Source organism: Homo sapiens, chromosome 6 (assembly GCF_000001405.40).
Source record: "Homo sapiens chromosome 6, GRCh38.p14 Primary Assembly".
NCBI classification, from domain to species: Eukaryota; Metazoa; Chordata; class Mammalia; order Primates; family Hominidae; genus Homo; species Homo sapiens.
In genome coordinates, this window is record NC_000006.12 from 55792621 (window position 1) to 55819870 (window position 27250).

The 27250-nt window shown below is 35.9% G+C and overlaps 1 protein-coding gene across 5 annotated transcripts in view; it reads right to left on the reverse strand.

Annotated features, from left to right (window-relative positions):
* The window catches only part of BMP5 (bone morphogenetic protein 5), a 121938-nt gene that overhangs the window by 38968 nt on the left and 55720 nt on the right, over positions 1 to 27250 (reverse strand). For 4 of the 5 annotated variants that reach the window (NM_001329756.2, NM_001329754.2, NM_021073.4 and 1 more), the window contains exons 2-3: positions 27035 to 27227; positions 1659 to 1807 (exon numbers count right to left, since the gene is read on the reverse strand). In NM_001329756.2, the coding sequence (NP_001316685.1) occupies positions 1659 to 1807; positions 27035 to 27227 (342 nt within the window). Of the gene's footprint in view, positions 1 to 1658; positions 1808 to 10704; positions 11109 to 27034; positions 27228 to 27250 lie in introns of those variants that run through there. The other variant, XM_024446524.2, reaches the window with a different exon arrangement.

Here is a 27250-nt window from a genome sequence, read left to right on the forward strand (position 1 = left end):
CATTCCATATATACAATCTTTGCAGTCACAGCATCGGTAATGGTATTATCCATAGGCTATGAAACTGGCTGCAGGTAAAACAACGCCATAGTGAAGTCTTAAGCATTTATAGCAATAAATCTCCTTGAAAAAGGTCCAAGACAGACACAGCTTTTACTTACCTCTGTGGTTTATTAAACAAGGCTTTTGTGTAACACCGCAATGAAAAATGAGGGAGGTAGACTGTAGGCCTAATGTTTTTCTTGCCTGATTCTGTGACAACAAGAAGCAGTGAACCTTAAATAAGATACGTTCTCTTATTAATGATCTTTTTAAAAATTATCCTCCCTGTCCCTGGTGATAACATTTTTAGGGTAGAGAATAACAGCACAATGTAGATCTCCATGATGTTTTTTATAAATATTTAAAATTAAATATTAAGTATTTAAAGGTAGGACACCATTAAATTATGTCTTATCCTCCTATCATGACAAATATAATTTTAAATGACCTGCAAGTCTAGATTTGAGTTTAGAGTGTTTGAACTTTGAGTGATCAAAGGGCAACAAAGATCTGAATATATTGGCCTTGGCTTCCTGAGCCTTCTGAGCAAATATGCCAGTATCACCATCACCACAGTCTGCAAATTCTGTTCCATGTGTCTGAATTGCCTGCCCCCCAACTTCTTCCCCTAATCACATCTTCGTGTTTCAGATTATAGCTCAAATCTAGTCACCATCCTATGTTCACAGATCCATTGAACACCTCAGTGTGCTGTGATATGCATTCACTAATACTATTGTGTTATTACTACCTCGTGCATCACTCAAATGCAAGTCTCATAAAGCCATCTGCATTGGCTCACTTTTATATCTCCAGAATCTCACCAAGTGGCTCTTTTGGCTCCATCCCAGGTGTCTTTAGCTGTGTATGTTCTGCTTTCCCATGGTGTCTTTGATGTGTCACTATTTTTCAGTATTAGGGCATATAGTAGGTGCCCAGTAAATACTTGTGAGCATAAGAATTACTTCTGGACCTTCTTAAAAGTGAAGATTTCCCACAGACCCTTCCACAAGTACTTCTGGAGCAGTAGTCTTTGATCAAACATTGCAATATGTAAAGAACTAACTTGGTATTATTTTTCTGCAGTTTTTTGTGACTCATTCCATCCCCATCTCCTCTCTCCCACTTTGTATTATTGGTAGCTCCTTTACTTCCCTAGTGTCTTTTTTGATACATATTTATCATTGTTTTAGTCGAGCTTTAAGACATAATTTGCATATAGTAATATTTATTCTTATTTGATGTACAGTTCCATAAATTTTTACAAATCGTATAGTTGTGTAACCACCACAACTATATTATTTTGGTATTGTTGTATTAGAGTAGTGCTACTTACTTACATATACAGGTCTTCAACACTAGACTAAAAATTCCTTGAGAACAGTAGCAGTACCTACGTCTTCTTTACCTCCCACCCCAGAGCCTGACAATAAATGTATTGGATAAATGTGTTCTGAATTGATTAACTAACTAATATAGTTTTGCACTACCCTATAGAATGCGTTGACTTGGACATCATAAATATAAAACATATATTGGTTATATCACATAAAAAACGATAACTCTCAATGTGTCAAACAAGCTTCACAAAAAAATATATAAAATTCAGTGCTTACCATCCCCTGTTTCTGCACAGAGCTGTAAGCCCAAATTATTCTGGGGATTAATCACCCAATGATTGCTGGTCACAGTGATATCAAAGACAAGCCAACCCACATCTAAAGCTTGGGCCTTTCTTGTGTCTAACAAGAACAGATCTGCATCCCTAAAAAGAAAAGGAACAACAAAAAAAGTTAAAGGTTTAAATGAACATCATTATTTCCTAGACTTAAGTGAAAACATTACAAAAGCAGTTTGTAAAATAACAGCAGTTAGTTAAAGAACAAGAGGAACAAGTGACTCAAGTGATGAGTAATAAGATACAAAACCTTTGTTACTAGGCTCCCAACCAAACCTGGTACAAATTAGTAATCTCTATCTGAAAGTAATTTCCATTTTCCTGCTTTTCATTGGCCTTTATAAACTGACTTAGTGCTCTTAATTTGATCCCTGGTCATCAGTGTTCCCGGTAACCACCATCTGTAAGTAGTCCTCAAAACAAAGGATTAAACTGAATAGAGTCAAATGAAAGTAGTTGTTCCAGTTTGGATGAATGTGAATTCTCAAATGAATGGAACACAGGCAGGATGTAATGCAATCATCTGTTTTAGAAGGAGTTTTCTAATATTTTTTCTATTTTTATTATATAATTATTTTATGGATACCAAACACCAAGAGAGTATTACAGAGTAATACCACTGGTTTAAGGATAAATCCCATGAGTTGAGTGGCACAATCTATGAGAACTTTTGTTAATATCTTCTGCAAGCTTAAGTCCCCTTGGGACAGTAATGGCTGTGAATATGAACTTACTTATATATTTTAGAATAATCTGCACAGTGTTACTGTTATTAACGTTTATGGTTGTATTGCTGAATCTTAATTTTAGCATTATATTTATAAATGTATAAACATTTGTTGAATTATAATGAATAATTTATTATTCTCTTACTACAGGCAGTTTCTGAGCTAAAATTACCTATTTCTGACATTTAATCTTTACAACAGCTCCTTAGTATTGAAAACATTCAGGCTCAAATAGGTTAACTGTAAAACACTGTATCTCCCTCAAGATAGAGTAGAAATAACACCATTATGCATTTTATGACCTTTGATATTGTATTGAATCTATTTAAGAGCATATTATTTATATAGAAAACAATAGAGCTATTCATTGTTTAATATTATTATACTAGGTTAAATATCAACATACTGTGTTAAATACTATTTTACTGCATTTTCTGTCTGTATACATCATAGAAGTCACTTTAAGGGTGGCTTACAAAATGTGAAAACACATTTTTAATAAATCATACTTTTTTAATGAAAAATACTCAAATTTAAAAGTGAACCATTTTAACAAAAACAAAGTTAAAAAATGTGTATCTTAGAAACTACATCTTCGTTTCTTAACTAGATTTTTTTCTATTAATCTAGAGAAATTCAAATAAATGTAATATGATAAGGAAATAATCTAAATATCCTAATACAAACTATGAATGTTTTATTGTCTTTTCACAATTACAGTCATAGTGTTTACCAAAGGAAGGATTGAAACGCTTGCTTTTTTCACATCTGATATAGGATTCAGTTTTAGATACTGCAGACTTATAACAAGCATATCATACAAAGCAGTAAAATGATTCCTTTAGTTCTCACTAGAATTTGTAGAACCCTTTATAGTCCCAGTGTGATAGCAGGTCAGTTAAATTCTTCCTCTTCCTCCTAAATTGAAAAATCCTCCAAATAAGCAGACAAGAAAATAAGAATTGTCTTAAAGTTTTGAGATATTTGGTAAATATCTCTGAGACCTTAATCTTGGAATTAACTCATTTACACTGTTCACTTCTTAAACAGGAGCAGTCACCCTGTACCTTGGGAAATACTTGAGTGCTACACTGATTTCAGGTCTGCTTTCATTTGAAATATGGCAAAAATGTCCTAATCAATTCTGCAAGGCTCATAATGTCATCCCTTGGCATGATATTAATAAAGACATGAAAAACAAAAAAGAACAAGGAGGTAAACTTTCAGAAGCAAAATTAACAAATTTCTTTTGGTAGTCATTTCAATGATATTTTCTATTATTTTTAAATTGTGCCATCTCTTCAGGAAAAAAAAATTCTCCAAACTCTCCATGTTCAAATCCCAAAACTTTCCAGCATGTCTATGAAGGAGACAGTTCCAGTTTAAATGTATATATATATATTTTTTTCTTATGGAATTTGTATTTTTTTTCTTTTTTTTTATTATTATACTTTAAGTTTTAGGGTCCATGTGCACAATGTGCAGGTTAGTTACATATGTATATATGTGCCATGCTGGTGCGCTGCACCTACCAACTCGTCATCTAGCATTAGGTATATCTCCCAATGCTATCCCTTCCCCCTCCCCCCACCCCACAACAGTCCCCAGAGTGTGATGTTCCCCTTCCTGTGCCCATATGTTCTCATTGTTCAATTCTCACCTATGAGTGAGAATATGCGGTGTTTGGTTCTTTGTTCTTGCGATAGTTTACTGAGAATGATGATGTATATATTTAGAAAAAGCATCAAGAATGGCCTAAATATCTGAATTTCGGTGATGCAAATTGCAATTCATTGGAAAGTAAATCTGGGAAGATGAAGTGGTATGGTCTAAAAAGAGCCATATATTTCTAGTTCACCTCTGAAAAGTTATGAAAGTTTAATTGATTTCATAAGTGCACAGTTTTCTATTAATGGTCAAAGCTATTTTACTTTTGACTGACAAATTATTTAATTTCTCCTTTCTCCTTTCATATACGAAGCTCTTCTGCATTACCTATAGACAACAGAATATGCTTGAGGAGAATCAAGACTATGAGTAATAAACACAGTGGTAATAATTCTGTAATTTTTACTCATATGGCCCCTTTCATAGCAGGTTCTTAAAAACAAGTCCCCCCCAACCCCATTCTGTAGAATGTTAGAGGGGATTTATTTTGAAGTATAAAATTTCTCCACTAAAATATGGCACTTATACTACCGGGAATAGTAAAATATCCTAAGTATTTCCCATGAACAGTATAAAATAAACTTGTTAAAGTTGTCCTGCCTCACCAGTTTTGCTTCACTTTTTAAAAGAAATTCTTACAATATCCAATAAAAGAACATTTTAAATAGTAATGCATTTAAGAACAGTGCGATAGAGAAAATACATGTATAAAGAAAAAACATATTTATTTGTAGCAAAAATAATTCCATAAATCCTTTAAATAAGGTGCAGTTACAATACTTGAAATTAAAGCCTACATTGTAGCAAAGAAAAAGCCCATTTACATGAATGTGCATAAGCAAATATTTCAGAATGGTGTTTGTGATTATTTTCTTTTCTTTTTTTTTTTTTTTTTTTTGAGACGGAGTCTAGCTCTGTCGCCCAGGCTGGAGTGCAGTGGTGCGATCTCAGCTCACTGCAAGATCCACCTCCAGGGTTCGTGCCATTCTCCTGCTTCAGCCTCCCGAGTAGCTGGGACTACAGGCGCCTGCCACCACGCCCGGCTAATTTTTTATATTTTTAGTAGAGACGGGGTTTCATCATGCTAGCCAGGATGGTCTCGATCTCCTGACCTCGTCATCCACCCACCTCGGCCTCCCAAAGTGCTGGGATTACAGGCGTGAGCCACTGCGTGTGATTGTTTTCTAAGGCTGTCATAACAAAATACCAGACTAGAGTTTGCAATTGATTTTCTCTCATTTCTGGAGGCTAGAATTCCAAAATCAAGGTGTCAGCAGGGTCGGTTCTTTCTGAAACCGGAGGAAAAGATCTGTTCCAGGCTCTCTCCTTGGCTTGTAGACTGTTGTCTTCTCCCTGTATCCCTTCTCATCATCTTTTCTCCTATGCATGTCTTTGTGTCTAAATTTCCTCTTTTCATAAGGACACCAGTCGTATTGGGTTAGGATTCATTCTACTGACCTCACTTTAGGTCAACTGCCTTTGCAAAGACCCTATGTCCAAAAAAGGTCACATTCTGAGTTACTGGAGGCTAGGACTTCAACATCGGGGGAGAGGGCACAATTCAACCCATAATACTAATACTAATACATAATACTAATAAAGCGGGTTTTTTTAAGGTGGGAATGTAAATATTCCTGGATGTGAATAGTCTGTCTTTATTGACAACATAGCACTTATCAAGACTGAGAGGTTTTCAAAAACAAATATGTGAAAGTAAATTTATATTAATAGAAATCATAATGACTAAAATTTGCATTTTCTTTTTCAGGTAAAATTTCATTGTTCATCTTGATTGTGATATAGATCAGTATAATAATTTCCTCTATGGTTAATAAAGTCATCATGCTGTTGTTAAATACAGAGTCAGGTTTAACAGATAAAGTTAGATTTGTAGTATCAAATAAGCTTATCAGATATGAAATATTTTGGAATATTAAGTTTAGCTGCTCAAAGGTGAATAGTAATATATAATATATACATACATTTATTGTCAATACAAATACATTTGAGCAGGTCTGACTCATCATGACCAGAAGTTTAAACATGTCTAGTTATACATGGGCTATTGGTATGTTTGTGTATATTTACTTGCATGAGTGCCTTTTATTTTAGTGAAAGAAGAAAGAGTTTTGCATACATACCTTGAGAATCTTAAAATACCAGAAGGACACTACACTAAAGACTAAACAGCAGGAACCAAAATTCAGCAGAATTTAAGTTACTACCATTAGCATAACTCAACCGAAGATGCTAATTGGTGGAATGAGAATATAGAAGCTATATAGCTAAGAAATTAATATTTATCATCTTTTTATCAATATCAATCTAGTGCTATAAAGATTTGGAGATCAGACAGATCTTGAACAATTAAGGAATTCCTCAACCTCAATTTCCCTGTATATTAAAAATGGTATGACAATCCCTGCCTTAAAATGTTTGATCAAGACCAAGTGCAATACTTTGAATATCTATCTGGTTAAGAGGTAAATTACACTTAAATCTGCAATCTTTTATAGGGTCTGCCATAATACAAATGTCTCTAAATTGCTTCATTTTGACCTATGAGTTTTGGGAAAGTATTATTTAGAGAAGAACATTACCTTCAAATAACCTCTATCAGTGTTAATTTTGTATTTACAAAAAGGGGGAAGAAGAAAAAGAGAGGAGCAGAAAGAGGAGAAAAGGAGAAGGAGGAGGTAGAGAAAACAAGGCACAAAAAGTTTAGAAAGTATTTCTGGGAGTGTTGTTTCAAAACTTCAACTATTGACTGTCTTTAGAAGTTTACCTGTGGAGGCCAAAGCAACTCCATCTTGAAAGCTAATCCACTCTATTGGCTTCTGATTAACTTCTGTTCTGGGAAGCCCTCTAATATTTTCAGTTTATCTATCTTCCTTGTGTAAGAGCAGGTACTTACGCAAATTCTGCCTTTAGGTCAAACAACCTTTATGTTATCATACTTCAATTGTCCTACAGCTCCCTTCTGAACCATCTCTGCTCCCTGGGTGATGGTGTGGGAATCCACCATCTCAACTTGCTGCTGCCCGAGATACAGACATGGCTTCTGTTCCTAAGTCCCTATTAAATATTTCTTCCAAGGAAACTGGTTTTGTCAGCCTGTCTCTTCAGCCTCTCAGATTCCTGGGACTTTGGGGTAGGTTTGCACAGACCTCCCCACAGTGAAACATCACCTTTTTAAAAAGCACTTATATAAGTACCCTTCCCTTATATAAGAATAGAGTTAGAGGTTGCATTGTGGATATAACATTTATGCATTTAAATAAATGCTAAAAAACAACAACAAACACACATGTATACACACACACACAACCTGTGGATTCCTGCACTTTCGATAGCATAGTATTTCCAATGACAGTATCATACACAAATATACAAAAATGCTACTTTTCAAACAACATAGATGGATCTGAAGACGATATACTTATTAACACTGTGATATATGATTAAAAATGTGATTCTAGTGATAAAGGCATAATGTCAAAGATGCATGAGACAAGTTTGAAGAAAAAGCCATCATATATATGTTTTGAGAGTGAAACAAGGAATACTATATTAATCATTTCAGACAACATGTGAATTAAAATATGTATGCGAAATATTAACAAACTATTATAGTTTTGTCTATTTTAAGTGTATTCATTATCTACCTATGCTTATACAAAAAATCAAGTGTATAAACATTCAACTTCTTGCTCTAATTTGTTTGATCTTTTACTTGAGTAAAGGGAATATCATTTGATATGATTATATTATGATAATGTGTTCTCCTTATAATTCGATATATAAGGGATGTGAACAGGCCTAGTAGCACACCAGGCATGTAGTATTGGAAATGTTAACTTCCTCTATTTTTCTAGTCAGCTGAATAAATGGAGTATTCTCATTATAAGACAAAAAAAATTGACCAAGAATGTTTGATGTGAAATCAATGAGTCTGGGATTTTAACTCTGAAAGTGACCAAAATAAATCACAGAATACTAGAACTGAGTGAGATATAAATTACTTAGCCAAACTATTTTTTCATAAGGAAATTTAAAGAGAAATCAAATAATTTTCCATGTTCACTTAGCCAATAGGGGGATCAGAACCCAGTTTTCCATTTTCAGAACACTTTCTCTTATAAAATATCAGCTCCCTTTACTCCCAAACCATAACTCAATTGCTTTCCTTATCTTGAAGAAAAGCACTGATATTTGGACTGGACCACTGAAAGGTTGATCTGAGCCACTAGCCTAAAACAAGTTGGGTAGAAACAGCTAAGAAGTGACTTTGGCTGTCATTTCACAAATCCATCTATCTATTAATTCATTTATTCACTTTTTCAATTTAACGTATTTTCACACTCCATGGTGGTTTTATACTATATCAATTCAACTAAGCTGGAACTACTGTGTATCGTTTGGGATTAGGGTTGGCTGCAAAGGAAATTTGGGTAACATTTAGAAGGTGGCAGCGAAGCAGTAGCCATATTTATGCTTAGAAGACTACCTTGTGGTCAAGTGTTATTGCAACTTAGACATATTGTGGAGATCTGCTGGTTCATCTTATTGGTGTTGAGCATGCAGCTCCTTCAGATCCCACTAATTCTCCCTATTTAGTTCCTCTGAATCTAGGGCAAGGCATCCGCTTCTAAAGGAAAGGACTTGGCGGCTAGAAAGTCAACTGCATCATTGAAGTTGGAGACTTGGAGGTAGGTTCCACTTTGTCCTCATGGGTTCCAGATTATCTTCACAGGTTCTGTTTTGTCCTTGTTTCCCCCAATGCATCTTTCCTTTCTGACTCTGTCCTGTGGACCTTAAGCCCAGCTTCAGATGCAGAGCAACAGACTTAAATAGATTGGTTAGCTCTAGGAATGCATAAGGTCAAATCTCTACCATAAATCCTTGCAGAAGCATTTCCCAGGAGGATAAATCTCCACTTTGCTCTTGGCTAATTATACTGGAACACTTACTTCAGTACTGGAAGGGCAGTACTTCGTTCTCTCTGGAAAGGGTGCTCTGGATATGAATCTGTCTTCTTTGTCCATGATGCTTCTCCCCAAAATTACCACACATGAACTTCCAGAATGCCTTATTCACTTATCCATAGAATTCCATACTGCATCGCTTCTGATAAAAAATGGGCTCATGCTTACGGAAGTCACCGGTCTTCCCATGCTTCCCATCAAAAGGATGGCCTTTTGAAGACTCAGTTATGCCACAAGTTGGGTACCAATATTTTACAAGAATGAACTGATATCCTTCAAGGAAGCTTTATATGATCTAAATCAGTAACCAATATAGCAAGGATGACTGTTTCTCTCATAGCCAGATGTCTCATGGTCTGGAAATCAAGGGGTGGAAATGGAAGTGGTTCCTCTCAACTCACTATCTATGATTCAACTAGCAAAATCTGTGCTTCTGACTCCCAAGACATTGGGCTATGTTGGTCCAGAGCTCTTAGTTCCCAATGGTACAATGCTAACTCTAGTGTCCATGGCAATAGTTCTATTAAATTGGAAGTTGAAACAGCTACCCGGCCACTTCGACTCCTCATGCCAGTGAATCAAGAAGCCAGTAAGTGGTTACTATACCATGTGAATCAATGATTCTAAATATCAAAGGGAAATTGGACTACTACTACCACAATATGAGTAATGAGGAGTATGCATAGAGTACAAGAGATCACCTGGAACACCACTTCGTACTCCCTTGTCATATGACAAAAGTAAATGGAAAATCACAGTTCATTGCAGGCATTATCGCTAATGGCCCAGACACTTCAACAATAAATATTTGATTTACCTTACTAGATAAGGAAAAGTGACCAGCCATGGTGCTTGTCAAAATAAACAGAAAATTGATAGCATAGTAAAAGAAGGAAATTATAAATACCAACTGCAACCATGTGACTAGCTGCAGAAATGAGTATTGTAATATGGTATTTATTCCTTATTTTGAAATTAATATATTTATGTTTTTGTATTAAATATATATGTATTTTTGCCATTACTTTTAATGGCAAAAACCACAAGTACTTTTGCACCTACCTAATATATATTAAATAATTCTTTTTTTCCCCTTTTCTTCCCCATCTACCTCCCATCTAGTATAAGCAGTGTTGATAGTAGCTAATCACATATTTCAGTATTGAAATTACAATACTTCAAAGGGGGAGTATGGCTCAGCTAGAAAAGGAATGAACAACATCCAAAGATGGATTAAAAGGCAGAATTACTTTGCTATTACATTTTTTATAAGTTATGAATGGTGCCGGGTGCGGTGGCTCATGCCTGTAATCCCAGCACTTGGGAGGCCAAGGTGAGCAGATTACCCGAGGTCAGGAGTTCGAGACCAGCCTGGCTAACATGGCAAAACCCCGTCTCCACTAAAAATACAAAAATTAGCTGGGGTGGGGGGGTGGGGGGGGCAGGCGCCTGTAATCCCAGCTACTCGGGAGGCTGAGGCAGGAGAATCGCTTAAACCCAGGAGGCAGAGGTTGCAGTGAGCTGAGATCACGCCATTGCACTCCAGCCTATGTGACAAGAGCGAAGCTCTGCCTCAAACAAAACAAAACAAACAAAAAAAAAAACAGGAAGAAGTTATGAATGGGTATAAAAGATGTATATTAGTGCCAAATTGACAAGGATGGACTGTTGTGACTATGTACATTGTCATATTACCTAAACAGAAATGACAAATTCCAGAATTCCCTTGGGAATTTGTTTGGGGCTGCTTTGAAGTTAGCCATCAGAGAAATCTGCACAGGAGTTGGGTAGTGGAATGGAAGCAGCACCCAAGTTTATGATTGGATAATTGGTAAAGTGCCAGGCTTTTCTGCTGCTCGCATACATTGTCACTGATCTGCTAGCTCACCTTACTGTTGGGAGCACCTGGGCTCTTTCAGCTTCCATTGAGTAACAGCTCCGTCAGCTTCTCCAAATTCTGGCCCACAATTCCTTCTGCAAGATCACCTCCTTCAGCTTCTCTACATCCTAAGCAAAGGAGTTTGTGGAATTCATGGTGAAGCATACCAATCTCCCCTGCAGGCCACGCACATCATTAAAGTTGGAACTCCAAAGGCATGAGAAAGACATGGTTTCTAATTTGTCCTTGGGGCTCCAGCATATCCTGAAAAGTTCTAGTTCTTCTTTTTCTCTCCAATTCTGTATCTGTTTTTCTTCCCAGCTGCCTATGGGAAGCTAACTTTAGACCCATCACAAGATAGAGAAGCAACAGCCTTACAAGAACTATTTAACCAGGTCCCATGATTGCAGAAAGTCAAATCCCTATAATAAATATCTTATTCCTTATGACTCACAATAATTTTATTTTTCTTATCAATCACTATCTAGCTTACTCCCTGTTATGGGTTAAATTGTGTCTTTCAAAAACATATGTTGAAGTACTAGTCCCTCATACTTGTGAATGTGATCTTATTTGGAAATATGCTTGCAAATGTAATCAAGTTAAGATGAGGTAAGCCATATTTCAATATAACCAGTATCCTTATAAGAAGAAGAGGAGAGACACAAAGATAGAGACACACAGAAGGAAGAGAGCCACATGAAGATGGAAGAGGAGATTGGAATTACAGTATCTTCACACAGCCAAGGAACTTCTAGGGCTACCAGAAGATGAAAACGGGAAGGAAGCATCATCCTCTAGAGGTTTTGGAGGGTGCGTGGCCTTACCAATTCCTTGATTTGGGAAACCTAGCCTTCAGAACTGTAAGAAAACAACTTCCTATTGTATTAAGCCATCATAGTTTTTAGTCATCTGTTATGGCAATTCTAGGAAACTAATATATTCCCCTGATTAGGATATTTCACATATTAAATAGGGAATGATCAACAATATCAAATACTGAGGAGAATAAGAAGAAAGAAAAAGTATAAGATCTGGTAAAGAGGAGGCTGATGGTAGATGACTAGTTGAGTGGAGTTATGAAAATCAAATTACAGTGCATTGAGGGGTGAATTAACTATGAGAAAGAGAAGGAATTGAAAGTAAAGTTTTATATCTGTGAATATGGTTATGATGTGGAAAGGACAAATACTGTGGAGTTTGGGGAAATAGGTGCAAACAGTCATGTAAAGGGATTTTTAATGTGATAATCATGAGGCTACTTATAGGATGCATTTAAGTTTGTATGTGGAAGATAGAACTTCTTGCACTATTTCAATGTAAGAAGAGATGTATGTACAGTACAGAAAATCTTCTGGAATAAGCAAATGCTTATTTACCTCTCTACAACACTATCCTTAGAGTTCAAATGCAAAATTTCATTATAAATGAAATCACCTCTTAGCAAGAGACATTGGGTAAACTAATATGCACTGGATGGGATGCCCATTCATCTTTTGATGAAATCTCTTTTATCAAGAGTACTATATTATAGACACATGGCAAAAGTGTTTGCTTGTTTTAAAAATATAATTGAACATTTCTCATTGGTATCAGGTGCCAATAAGCTGTAAGACTCACAGATACTTGATTTTATTTATTTAATTATTTTACTTTAGGTTCCGGGATACTAGTGCATAACCTGTAGGTTTGTTACATAGGTATATATGTGCCATGGTAGTTTGCTGCACCTATCAACCCGTCATCAAAGTTTTAAGCCCCACATGATTAGCTATTTGTTCTCATGCTCTCCCTCCCCTTGACCAGATTCATCCATGTCCCTGCAAAGGACATGATCTCATTCCTTTTTATGGCTTTATAGTATTCCATGGTGTATATGTAGCATATTTTCTTTAACCAGTTTATCATTGATGGGCATTTGAGTTAGTTCCACGTCTTTGCTTTATAGCAGAATGATTTATATTCCCTTGGGTATATATCCAGTAATGGGATTGCTGGGTCAGATGGTATTTCTGGTTCTAGATCCTTGAGGAATCGGCACATTGTCTTCCACAGTGGTTGAACTAATTTACATTCCCACCAACAGTGTAAAAGCATTCCTATCTCTCCACATCCTCACCAGCATCTATTGTTTATTGACTTTTTAATAATCGCCATTCTGACTGGTGTGAGAGATGGTAGCTCACTGTGGTTTTGATTTGCATTTCTCTAATGATTAGTGATGTTGAGCTTTTTTTCATATGTTTGTTGGCCGCATAAATGTCTTCTTTTGAGAAGTGTCTGTTCATATCCTTTGCCCACTTTTTGATGGGGTTATTTTTTTTTCCTTGTAAACTTGTTTAAGTTCCTTGTAGATTCTGGGTATCAGACCTTCATCAGATGAGTAGAATACAAACATTTTCTCCCCTTCTGTAGGTTGTCTGTTCACTCTGATGATAGTTTCTTTTGCTGTGCAGAAGCTCTTTAGTTTAATTAGATCTCATTTATTACTTTTGGCTTTTGTTGCAATTGCTTTTGGCATTTTCATCATAAAGTATTTGCCCATGCCTATGTCCTGAATGGTATTGCCTAGGTTTTCTTCTAGGGTTTTTATGATTTGGGGCTTTACATTTAAGTCTTCAGTCCATCTTGAGTTAATTTTTCTATAAGGTGTAAGAAAGGGGTCCAGTTTCAGCTTTCTGCATATGGCTAGCCAGTTTTCTCAACACCATTTATTAAATAGGGAATCCTTTCCCCATTGCTTGTTTTTGTCTGGTTTGTTGACAATCAGATGGTTGTAGATGTGTGGTGTTATTTCTGAGGTCTCTGTTCTTTTTCATTGGTCTATCTGTCCGTTTTGGTAGCAGTGCCATGCTGTTTTGGTTAGTGCATCCTTGATGTATAGTTTGAAGTTAGGTAGCATGATGCCTCCAGCTTTGTTCTTTTTGCTTAGGAATGTCTTGGCTCTACAGACTCCTTTTTGATTCCATATGAAATTTAAAGTAGTTTTTTCTAATTCTGTGGGGAATGCCAATGGTAGTTTGATGGGAATAGCACTGAATCTATAAGTTACTTTGGGCAGTATGGCCATTTTCATTATATTGATTCTTCCTATCCACAAGAATAGAATGTTTTTCCATTTGTTTGTGTTCTGTCTTATTTCCTTGAGTAGTAGTTTGTAGTTTTCCTTGAAGAGGTCCTTCACATCCCTTGTTAGCTGTATTCCTAGGCATTTTATTCTCTTTGTAGCAATTGTGAATGGGAGTTCATTCATGATTTGGCTCTCTGCTTGTCTATTATTGGTGTATAGGAATGCTTGTGATTTTTGCACATTGATTTTGTATCCTGAGACTTTTTGGAAGTTGCTTATCAACTTAAGGAGTTTGGGGGCTGAGACAATGGGGTTTTCTAAATGTAGAATCATGCCATCTGCAAACAGAGACAATTTGACCTCCTCTCTTCCTATCTGAATACCCTTTATTTCTTTCTCTTGCCTGATTGCCCTGGCCAGAACTTCCAATACTATGTTGAATAGGAATGGTGAGAGGGGGCATCCTTATCTTGTGTCGGTTTTTAAAGGGAATGCTTCCAGCTTTTGCCCATTCAGTATGAATTGGCTGTGGGTTTGTCATAAATAGCTCTTATTATTTTGAGATTTTTTCATCAATACCTAATTTATTGAGAGTTTTTAACATGAAGGGATGTTGAACTTTATCAAAGGCCTGCATCTATTGGGATGACCATGTGATTTTTGTCATTGGTTCTGTTTATGTGATGGATTACATTTATTGATTTGCATATGTTGAACCAGCCTTGCATCCCAGGGATCAAGTCAACTTGATCGTGGTGGATAAGCTTTTGGATGTGCTGCTGGAATCGGTTTGCCAGTATTTTATTGAGGATTTTCACATCGATGTTCATTAGGGATATTGGCCTGAAGTTTTCTTTCTTCGTTGTGTCTCTGGAAGGTTTTGGTATCAGGATGATGCTGGCCCCATAAAAGGAAGGAAGGACTCATCCCTTTTCAATTGTTTGAAATAGTAGCTAAAGGAATGGTACCAGCTCCTCTTTGTACTTCTGGTAGAATCCGGCTGTTAATCGATCTGGTCCTGGTTTTTTTTCGGTTGGTAGGCTATTTATTACTGGCTCAATTTCAGAACTGTTATTGGTCTATTCAAGGATTCAAATTCTTCCTGGTTAAGTCTTGGGAGGGTGTATGTGTCTAGGAATTTATCCATTTCTTCTAGATTTTATAGTTTATTTGAATAGAGGTGTTTATAGTACTGACATGTGTTTATATACTGACATGATGCCAGTAGGAACGCTCCTGTATAGGGTGTCTGATGATCCCTGTTGGAGGGTCTCACCCAGTTGGATGGCATGGGGAGCAGGACCAGTTTAACAAAGCACTTTGACTGTTCCTTGATGGAGGAGGTGTACTTCAGTGGGGGGAGAAACCCACTCTTCTGGGCTTCCTGACTTCCTCAGAACTAGCCAGAGGAAAGACTAAGTCTGCTGGTCTTTGGAGACTGTGACCACCCCTCCCACTAGGGGATCAGGTCCAGGGAGATCAGAGTTCTGTCCCTGAGCACCTGGTTGGAGTTTTAGAAGCTCCTGCAGGAAGGCCCTGCCCAGTGAGGAGGGATGGGTCAAGGTCAGGCCTGAAGAGGCACTCTGTCCACAGTATGCCACAGCTGATGTGTTTGGCTGTGAGGGATACTTCTTGGGACCAAGCCATCCAGTCTCCCTGGGTCCAGCTAAGGAAAAGCACAGCCTGGAGCTATAGAGATGGCTGCTGCCCTTCTCCTGCCATAGGAGGTTAATGTATTAGGCAGTTATCTGTCCCGGTGTTGGCTCTCACCCTCCCCCAAGGACCTCAAATGGCTTTGACAGCAGTCAACCACAGCTGTGGTTCTGGTCACTCCTCCCTCTGTGAGCTCAGCAGGCTTAAGCAGATTCTAGCTTACTGGCTGTTGAGAACCTGCACAGGTCCATGGTTGGGACCCTAGGCACTGGTGGCGTGGGCTCACACGTGGGATCTTCCAATCTGTGGGCTGCACAGTTCCATGGAAAAAGCATGTTTTCCCAGGTTGGATAGCATGCTCACTCACCACCTCCCTTGGCTGGGGGGTGGTGGCCCCTCTGCCCCATGAGGCCCTCAGGTGGGCCACCGCACCCCACTGCTCTTCCTTCCTCTCCATGGGTCACACCAGCTGCCCAGTCAGTTCTGATGACAGAACCTGGATACCTCGGTTGCTGGTGTAGGATTTGCATGCTGTTGTGGTTCTTCTCAATGGGAGCCTCCTATCGCTACTGCTTCTAGTCAACCATCTTGACCCACCCCACAGATACTTTAAAGAGCCACACTATCCATGTACCTTCATGAATCTAGGAACCACAATCATAGATGGAGTTGGTGCCTGCTTAATTTCAACGCTGACTTGCTATACTCAGGCTTTACTTAATATTAGAAAAAAATCATTATGTTCTTTAAAGTCACCTTTCTAAAGTTATCTTCCTTCTTCTTTAAATGAAGATTAAAAGAAGATTAAATGAATATTCTCTAAATGAAAATTAAAGTAATTTCTACCTCAAAAATCTATTGCAAGGATAAAAGAATACACAAATAAAAATGATATACAAATTACTATAATTGCTACTTTCTTAACAAACTACATGTATAGTGTGTAAATGTATATGAGTTGTATGCATTATTCTTGCATCCAACTCATTATAGTCAGAAGTGATTTATGCAATTACAAATGTAAAAGTTATTTAACAACCTGTACTTAGAAACTTTGGAAATAGAAATTTATTCATCTTCTTTAACTTTAGGAATATTTTTGATACATAATCCATAATAAAACCACCTCTCAGTTCTACTGGAGAAAAAAATGGGTTGAAAACTTATAAAAAATAAGTAAAATCATTTATATAATCAAGAAGAAGAGATAAGAAAAGGAATATTAACCCTGGTTGTGGTTGTGGTTTCAATTACATGAATATATGTATATGTGTGTATGCATGCATATATTATATACATATATATATGGAGAGAGAAAGAGAGAGAAAAAGGATACTTAACCAAGAGGATAGCCACATATTTTTTATATTCAAAGAGAAACAAAAAGGAGAAACCAATAGGATAGCCACTCTACTATCTAATCATGAAGCACTTAAACCTGGTCCAGAAAAGCTTTAAGAAATTATCTAGAAGCTACACAGACAAATTTTAGAGGAAAGGATGCCACACTACTTTATTTTCATAAAGTACAAAACTTGTAGTCCACAACGACATCTCCACTTTTCCCAAAGCTTCTATTATTATAACTATTTCACTTTCTTCCATCTCCTTTTTTCCTTGAATAGCTTATCAAGTCCAATAAAAATATAATGATGGCCACCCAAGGAGAAAGCATACATCTCTCTCTGGGTATTTGTCATAAATACCATCATATTATTCAAGAGACTACAAATTAATAATGGTAAATTCTAGAGTTTATAAGGTTCAAAGTTTCCCTCATCAGCAGCTTTTAGCTTATATGGGCTAGAATTTGAATTGGGTTTCAATTCAAATTGATCAATGTTTTCAAATGGTAAATCGCTTTTTTTCCCCAAAATAAATGTGGGATTATACAATTCTATAAATCTTACTAACCATTAATTTTCAGAATATCTAATTCCATGCTGCATTTAAAAGGTACAGATGAAAACTGGTAAAATAGTAATATTAGATGCAATTGAATGAAAAGCATGGCAGAAATGAAAAAAAGTTGGAATCTCACTAAGAAAATTTAATCACTTTTCACTGAGCAGAATTTTTTTAATTGCCAAGACATTTTTAATATTTAGTAGGTTTCCTGGCATTACATCATCTCACATTTTTCCCCTGCAGAGAAATTTAAACATGTGCTACCAGGTATACACCCAGGAGGTCCCCTCATTCAACAAGCAAAAAGGACATGAGGCTATTACACAGACAGTTCAACCATTTTTCATGCAGTGAATGAGCAATGTACCCAGTACAAACTCCTAAGAGCTCTTTCATCTTATGAGTCTTATGATCCAAAATATTAAATGGTCAAAGCAAAATTCACTGACATATTAGCTTATGGCACAAACTATTTCCACTTTAGGTTTATATCTTAAATCTTCAAATAGAGCAAGATTTCTCAACCTTGGTACCAAGGACATTTTGGATCAAAGCACTCTGTGAGGCAGAGGAGCTGTCCTGTCCATTTTAGAAGGTTTAGCAGCATTCCTACCCACATTACTACTCCAGCATATCTACGCACTAAATGCTAGTAACAATACACACACATACCTGCCCCCTATCAATTGTGGATGACAAAATAAAGTGTTTCCATACATTGCTAAATGTCTCCTAGGGACCAAAATCACCCCAGGTAAGAACCTCTAAAATAGAGCATGATCCCCACACACTGAAGATATGCAAGCTATGCTTGTGTACCGTTCTAGACACTTTAGAAACATAATCTCCCATCTGAGTGTCCTGTTCTGGCACCCTGCTCTCAAGAGCCCAGGAAATCTTCCTGAGTGGAAAATGTCAGAGTACCTTCTGAAGTATGTCCGCAGAAGAATCACAAATCTTAGAGAAGAAGGAGGCAGGGGGAGATGATGTAAATATGAAGCTGACTGTGAACTGGAATGATGACAGCTTAACTATATATATCCAAGTACTGAAGGTGGCTAATGACATCGAGCAGGCTAGCTTAAAATGTTTTCACAATGGAGTACAGAAATTTATATTCATAGCAGAGCATTAGGAAAAGGTTGATTCTACATAGCACATTTTCTTTAGGGAATACATAAATATATATATTTGTGAAAAAATTAATTCAAGTAAAGCACTTAGCACAGCGCCAGACACATGGTGAGTGTCCATTAAATGTGTAAGTGCTGGATGCTATTCTTATTAGTAGTAACACTGGCATTGATCATTTTATTGTATTAATTTAATTCATTATACGCTTGAACTTTTTTATACACTTAAACATTTTAGTGCTTAGGAACATTTCTTCTGGCATACACCTCTGCCCTCTCTCTCTCTGTCTCTCTCTCTCTCCCTCCTTCCCTCTCTCTTTCTCCCTCTCTCTCTCTTTCTCTCTCTCTCTCCCTATTCTTTCCCCATTTGTTGTTTTGCCTATGGAAACTTCCTACTCTTCTTGAAAAGTTCAGCTCAATAGTGAACTCCTCTCAGAGGCTTTCCCTAAGGTCCCTTACCCTTCCAAGTAAAAAATTAACTTTCTCTTCATTTCTATTTCCACAACACTTAGTGCATATTTACATCATCGTTCTTAGCACATTGTATTATAGTTATTAAAGTCTGTGTGTGGCAGCCCCACCACAGTCCCTGGCCTCCAGGCTATGAGCTTCTGAGGCCCTATTTACTCGGCCTTATGTCCTCTGTGCTTGCCACATGGTAGACGCTCAACAAAAGCACTCCAAGCTCAGCTGAATTATCTGGAAAATTCAATCATGTGGAAACCTCCTTTCCCAATAATGCCAGATATATGAGGTGTGACTATAGAGCAATGCCTTCTATATAGAATTTGGGGCTGTCAGCCTTATATGAAAAGATTAAATAAGTGAAATGATGCAAAGTGTGTTAACTTTTTACCAAGTAAAATATAGATTTGGATAAGTATCAGAACACTCCTTTAAATTACACACATTTAAATATGAGTAGGGATAAATTGGGAAGGTGGGAGAAATGGTAGGAATAAAATATATAATTTTAAGAGCTATAAGTCTCACTAAGATAAATAAATAAGAAAAGAGGTGACATAATGGATCTACCATATTTTAAATTTGATTGCATAACACTGTCAAATAATTCATAGATTAGATGGTTAATAGGTCAGACTGTGTCTTGAATATAAAACATATCCATAAAACATCAGTCCAAATTACTGTACAGATCTCCCTTACCCAGCCAGTCCTAGGCAGTATCTTAGGGAAAGGAAACTTTACATATGTGAAAACATATATGCATTGTCAAATAAATTACATTAAAGAGTACAGTCTGCCCTGACTTTTCAATTGTTTCTGAGTTTAACTGAAAATACGAAGTAGATAAAACCCACAACTTTGACACAGAAGTTTTGAGAGGTGACTCTGCTTTAAAAATAGCCAGAGGTACTAGTTCCTTTTTCTACTTCCACTTTAGTTCTTTAAGAAGTATATGAAGCCACAAATAATCAATAGTTAAAACAATTAATAGGATTTTAAAATTACTTTTCAAATTGAAATTCCATTTTAACTGTGATCATGTGATATGTAAATAAAGTATTTTTAATGCAATACTTGTCTCAGAGAATTAAAGTCAAAGTTCCAAAGTTGTGGTAACTATTTTCCAAAAAATATTTACTCTTCTCAGAGAATTCTCAGAGAATTAAAGTCAAAGTTCCAAAGCAGTGGTAAATTTTTTCGAAAAATAAAAAAGATACTATTTATCTTCATTTCCTATGAGAAAAAAATACCTTCCATGGCTTAAGAAAAAATGAGAGCAACTGATTTTTAAATCCTAGTGTTTTTTGTTTTGTTTTGTTTTGATTTTTTACTCTCTATACCTGGCAGAAGTTGGGAATGCTATTTTGTAAAGATGTGTGTAGCATAAAATCATTTCATTACCTTTTTTCTCTCAACTATAATTATTCACATTGCTGTTTATACCAATAATGTTCATCATAAAAATTTTAAAAACACAGAAAGTGTTGAAGAATTAAAATGTAAATTACCCACAGCCTGCAATGAATATTTGATGGGTTCCTTCAATCTGTTTTATATATAAATTTATTTAAAATAGTATAATAATGTATATAATAATGTTTCTTGGTTTGGGTCAATTAACATTATTATTTGAGCATTTTTCAGTGTTAGTAAATAGTTTTCAAAAATGTAATTTGGCCGGGCGCGGTGGCTCACACCTGTAATCCCAGCACTTTTGGGGGCCGAGGCGGGCGGATCACGAGGTCAGGAGACTGAAACCATCCTGGCTAACGGTGAAACCCCGTCTCTACTAAAAATACAAAAAATTAGCCAGGCGTGGTGGCAGGCGCCTGTAGTCCCAGCTACTAGGGAGGCTGAGGCAGGAGAACAGCGTGAACCAGGGAGACGGAGCTTGCAGTGAGCAGAGATTGCGCCACTGCACTCCAGCCTGGATGAAAGAGCGAGACACCGTCTCAAAAAAAAAAAAAAAGGTAATATGTGTTTTCTCTGTGCTATTTTTCCAAAAATTATACCTTAACTTTTTTCTTGTTTAATTATGTTCAATTTGTGAATTGTAAGCAATAATACAGCGATAAACACTTTTACATGAATCCGTCTACATCTGTCTATATCTGCAATGTTTCTGTAAGATAAATTCATAAATAAGAGCTCTCTCATCCCACACTACCCTTTCCCCATACTTCTCAAATGTATTTTAAAGAGTTTGACTATTTATCTAAAACTTGTGTTTTCAGCTATTATTCACAGAAAGATTCAATGATATTGCTATTAAATTGGGTGGCATTTATTTTATTATTACACTTCAAAACCTACCGATTTATTTTTCATATATTAAATTATGTAATAAAACTAATTATTTATTAAATAAAGACACCTAGAACATTTTACTTACTTTATCTTTACATAAAGGTAGGTGTCAGAAAACTGTACCTACTGTTATTATAATAAAAAACAATTTTTTGCCATTATGTATATAGTTCTGTAAACTAACATAGATGCTCATATGAAGTTATATGAAAATATATTGATGAATGTATTTATTATCAACTATGATCTTTGCATTGGGATATGCATTAGCCCTTCCCACATCATCTGAAATTATTTTTCTTGATCTGAAATACTTTTTCATCTGTTTTTTATTTTTTCAGATTTGCAAACTGAGACTCCAAGAAATATAGAAATTTCCCTATTTGGGAATTTCAAGTCTATGCTCTTATGGCACTATATTATTATTTTCTGTGGTGACTTTAAAGTCCTTCATAGAAACCTGAAATATTCTATAAGACATATCGCTATTTCTATGTGTTCTTTCCCTTAAACATCTTTCTTTGGAAGAAAAGGGGGAGTACAGAAAGTGAATCCTGCATCTATAGGTAATAACACGGCACAGAATTGCATTTTCTTACAATGCAGAATAATGAACTTCTGTCAATGAACCAATGCTTATTTTAAAATAAAAAAAGTGTTTTGCTAGAGATTGTCATACCTGATCAACAGTATATAAAATTGAAATATGGCCAAGCGTGGTGGCTCACGCCTGTAATCCCAACACTTTGGGAGGCTGAGGCGGGTGGATCACCTGAGGTCAGGAGTTCAAGACCACCAGCCTGATCAACATGGTGAAATCCCCTCTCTACTAAAAATACAAAAATTAGCCAGGTGTGGTGGTGGGTGCCTGTAGTCCCAGCTACTCAGGAGTCTGAGGCAGGAGTATCGCTTGAAACCTGAAGGCAGAGGTTGCAGTGGGCTGAGATAGTGCCATTGCACTCCAGCTTGGGCAACAAGAGTGAAACTCCATCTCAAAAAAAAAAAAAAAAAAAGAATTGAATTACGAAGTATGAGTCTCTGTGAATATTTCAGGATTGAAAAAATAATTAGTAAAACATTCCAAATACATTAGCAAAAACAAATATCACAGAGGACAATAAATATACTATAACCCTAGAAGATAAAGTAACAATCATAATTCAGTAACACTACTCAATAGCAGATGTTCAAAAATGTGAACTTGGTAGAACTGAATTAAGATTGAATTGAATTTTTAAAAATACTATTTGGCAAATTAAATAGAAACCTATCAAATCTATATCATCCCAGAGTTTAAAATGGCAGTGGAAGAGGATGCCAGGTAAAGATATACATGCACTTTAGATTTTACAAATTAAGTCAAAGGAATTAGGAAAAATATCAGTGAAATCCTAAATCTGAGAGTAGATTTAAACACATGTTAAAATAAAGTCTTAGCCAAATTATACCAAAGAATACTGAAACAATACGTAGCTATAGTAGCAGAAACATTAAGAGTAATATTTTTTAAATCAGGTATAATTAGAAAAATATCAGAGGTGCAAGATAAACAAACATTTCATTTTTGTAAGGATAATTAAAATTTCCCAAAACTATGAAGTCACGTGAACTAAGCATCAATATCCATAAATATTCCAAAATGGACTGTTAATAAAAATAAGCATTAGTTTATTTAGAAATAGACTATAAAGTATTAATAGACTCTTAGTTCTTTATTTTTATCATTTTTGTCATGTGTTAAATTATACCATTCACATCCTTAGAAAATAGAAAGGTGAAAGTAAGCTCAGAGGGAGCTTCATTAGATGACATTAAGAAATATACTGAGCAGACAGAACAGTGGGCATACAGAAAAGATAGGAATTTTAATTGTGATCAATGTAAAATTCTGCAATTAAATACAATTAATAAATATATTCTAGAGGATAGAAAACTGGTATGCCAATCATTCCTGAAAAAAATGCTTAGGATATAAATAACCAACTATAAACTCAACATACATAAAATATATATAACTGACAAAAAATAAACATAATTCAAACATTTTAGGATATGTATATGGAAGTAGTATTCCAATTTTGAGTAATAATGATGTCAAAGCATTGAATCATACCGAGGAAAATGGTAGTGCTGAGGATAAAAATAAATAACTTATCCTTATCTCTTCTTTAAAAAACTCATAATCCAAGTGTGAAAACAGACATAGAAAAAGATAACTATGAATAAAACAATTTGTTAGTTTTGGCAATATTATTAACTAACATTCAGAATATTATTTTCAACTCTTCTCACTAATTTTGAGATATTATTATTATGTAACATAAAAATAACATATTATAGTATTCACTATATATGCCTGGCCCTATAAGAAAATAATATTAGTATCTTAATTTTATAAATGGAACCATTAGATTGAGATTTTTTAAAAACGTAACTTATCTGCAGACAAATAGGTAGTCAGTGTTAAAGTTGAGAAACAAATATAGGTCTTTCTGCCTTCAAATTACTGCTGTTAAAAATAACAATGCATATCAGTCAGTACGTATTAAAGTGAGTTCTGCTGAACTAGCATTCCATAGGATATTAATAAGTACTACACACCCAATGAATCCATAGCCAGATAATTTTGAGGAAGACTAGTTAAAATAGAATTGAGAGGGCATGTGCACGTACGTGTGTGTGTGTGTGTGTGTGTTGTCACTGTAAAGCCTTTGTAAGACTTTAATATCCAGAATCTACAAAGAACGCAAACAAATTTACAAGAAAAAAACAAACAACTCTATCAACAAGTGGGCGAAGGACATGAACAGACACTTCTCAAAAGAAGACATTTATGCAGCCAACAGACACATGAAAAAAACGCTCATCATCACTGGCCATCAGAGAAATGCAAATCAAAACCACAATGAGATACCATCTCACACCAGTTAGAATGGCAATCATTAAAAAGTCAGGAAACAACAGATGCTGGAGAGGATGTGGAGAAATAGGAACACTTTTACACTGTTGGTGGGACTGTAAACTAGTTCAACCATTGTGGAAGATACTGTGGCGATTCCTCAAGGATCTAGAACTAGAAATACCATTTGACCCAGCCATCCCATTACTGGGCATATACCCAAAGGATTATAAATCATGCTGCTATAAAGACACATGCACATGTATGTTTATTGCAGCACTATTCACAATAGCAAAGACTTGGAGCCAACCCAAATGTCCATCAATGATAGACTGGATTAAGAAAATATGGCACATATACACCACAGAATACTATGCAGCCATAAAAAATGATGAGTTCATGTCCTTTGCAGGGACACAGATGAAGCTAGAAACCATCATTCCCAGCAAACTATCGCAAGGACAAAAAACCAAACACCTCATGTTCTCACTCATAGGTGGGAATTGAACAATGAGAACACATGGACACAGGAAGGGGAACATCACACACTGGGGACTGTTGTGGGGTGGGAGGAGGGGGGAGGGATAGCATTAGGAGATATACCTAATGCTGAATGACGAGTTAATGGGTGCAGCACACCAACATGGCACATGTATACATATGTAACGAACCTGCACATTGTGCATATGTACCCTAAAACTTAAAGTATAATAATAATAAAATAAAATAAAATAAAAAAGAAATCTGCCTCAGAACTGTCCACAATGACAAACACTCCTACAATCCAGAAGCCAAGGCGTAGCCTAATTGAATGTTAAGCAGCTGAAATAGCTTAAAACCAGAAAAACAATGTACATAATGGAAACCCTGATGAGTCCATCATATTGATGGTCTTCTGTGGTTGCAATGATAATAATAATACTTTATTTAAAATAGCCAAGGTAGAGACAAAAGTCTTTGTGTATTCAAGCCAAACAACTCAGATGAATGGCACCCCCAGACTAACTTCTGAGTAAACCATACTGTGATAACATAAAGCCCTTTTGTATGTCAGGAATATCGGGAGGTGCCATTAGGCTGGAAGACCTGCATATATTCATATATTGTCCACAGCCTCCTTTTGGGTTCTGGTTGTCTACATGGGATGACTTTAGATGACATGTATACAGGGTGGATTCTAAACCAGAGATAGAGCAGCATTAGTGTCTGGCTTTTTTTTTTTTAATCTTTTGGTACCTAATTTGCAAAGCCACTCAAAATGACAAACATAAGTGATCTGATTATTATATCAGACGCATATAAAAAGTTTCTATTTCCTTACAAAGTTTTTCTGGCTCTCAAATATAATCACTGTTTTGTTTTTCTGTTGCTGTTTGCTTTTCTAAAGAATCAGAACAAGAACTTCCCTTATTTTAAGATAAACTATTAGTCTCAAACTTTGGGCACATCACAATGTCCCAAATTAGATTGTATTTAATTCAAGACCAAAATTAAATTGATTTAAAATAAAAAATTTTAAAAAAGACTTTAATATTCTGATATGCATTGTGAATCTCCGAGAGGATAGTCTAACAGGAAGGCTTTAGCAATAGACATGACCTCAGAAGCTTTTTAATTTTTTCTTCATTGAGTATTGCAAGGCACTATTGCGAAATTCTGCCAAACTGGAAGACCAAGACAAATCTAAACATCAAGAACTGCAAATATTGTCAACAAGGAGAGAACAGCACCTTACAGGAGACAGGATAGCAATCTTTAAATATTTTTCTAATCAAAAAAGGATATATTATTTCATCAAAAGGAAGACCTAGATGTGAGGAATGAAAGCTACTGGGAGAGAGATATCACCTCAATATAGGATTTCAAATAGATTTAGATACATGAGAGATAGATAGATAGATAGATAGACAGACAGACAGACAGACAGACAGACAGATAGATAGATAGATGGTAGATCTGAGCTGTCTGACAAAGGTAGATTCATCACCTGAAAAAATGTGTTATCCAAGTGATTTCTGCATTTTGTTAAATATCAGAGAAAATGACTGATATTTAACACTTATTTTCAATGGTTCATTTGCAGTCATTATCAACTGAGGTTTTTATGCATTTAGTATTTCAGACTATCTGTCCATTTTTGTATCATTCCGAATTAACCAACTTATAGACAGAGGACATCAAAATACACATAAAAATGAACATACAATTTTTACACTCATGTCAGTGAAAAGTAAAGCAGTGCTTCTCTAACTTCCAGAACACCAAGTAATTTCATTATCTTAATTATACATTTCATGTGGGCAGAACAAAGTGGAAGTTTTCTGGGATGAAGGACAACTTTACAAAATGAGACAACAGACCTAGAAAGCACATTTTTAGAAGCATGAGACTATTTAGTATACGAATTGGTGTCAGGAGTAGGGAGCAGCTCTGGAATGTAGGAGAAAATTTTCAGATCGATTACGGTTACCTTTCAATATCTCTACCTGGCTCTAAATGTTACTACATTGCCCCCAAAAAAATAATTTGTTTGATAGATCACATGAGTTATCAATGGCTTTTACTAAAATTTTACATATATTTGCCAGGATAATAAGTTAAATAAAAAGATTATACCTATTTGTGTATTCCTTGATGATTTGATATATGCTAATCTTAATTGTTTCATTTTCAAATCGGTTGTTGCTCCGGTCCTTGTATATCCGGAATTCAGCTGCTGTCACTGCCTCTCCATGAGGAATTTGGGTAAGATCAAATCGAAATTCTTTGTAATGCCTTCGCTGGTGAGAAAAATCCTTGTCTCTTTCAACTGAAAAAATAAAGGGGGTTGAG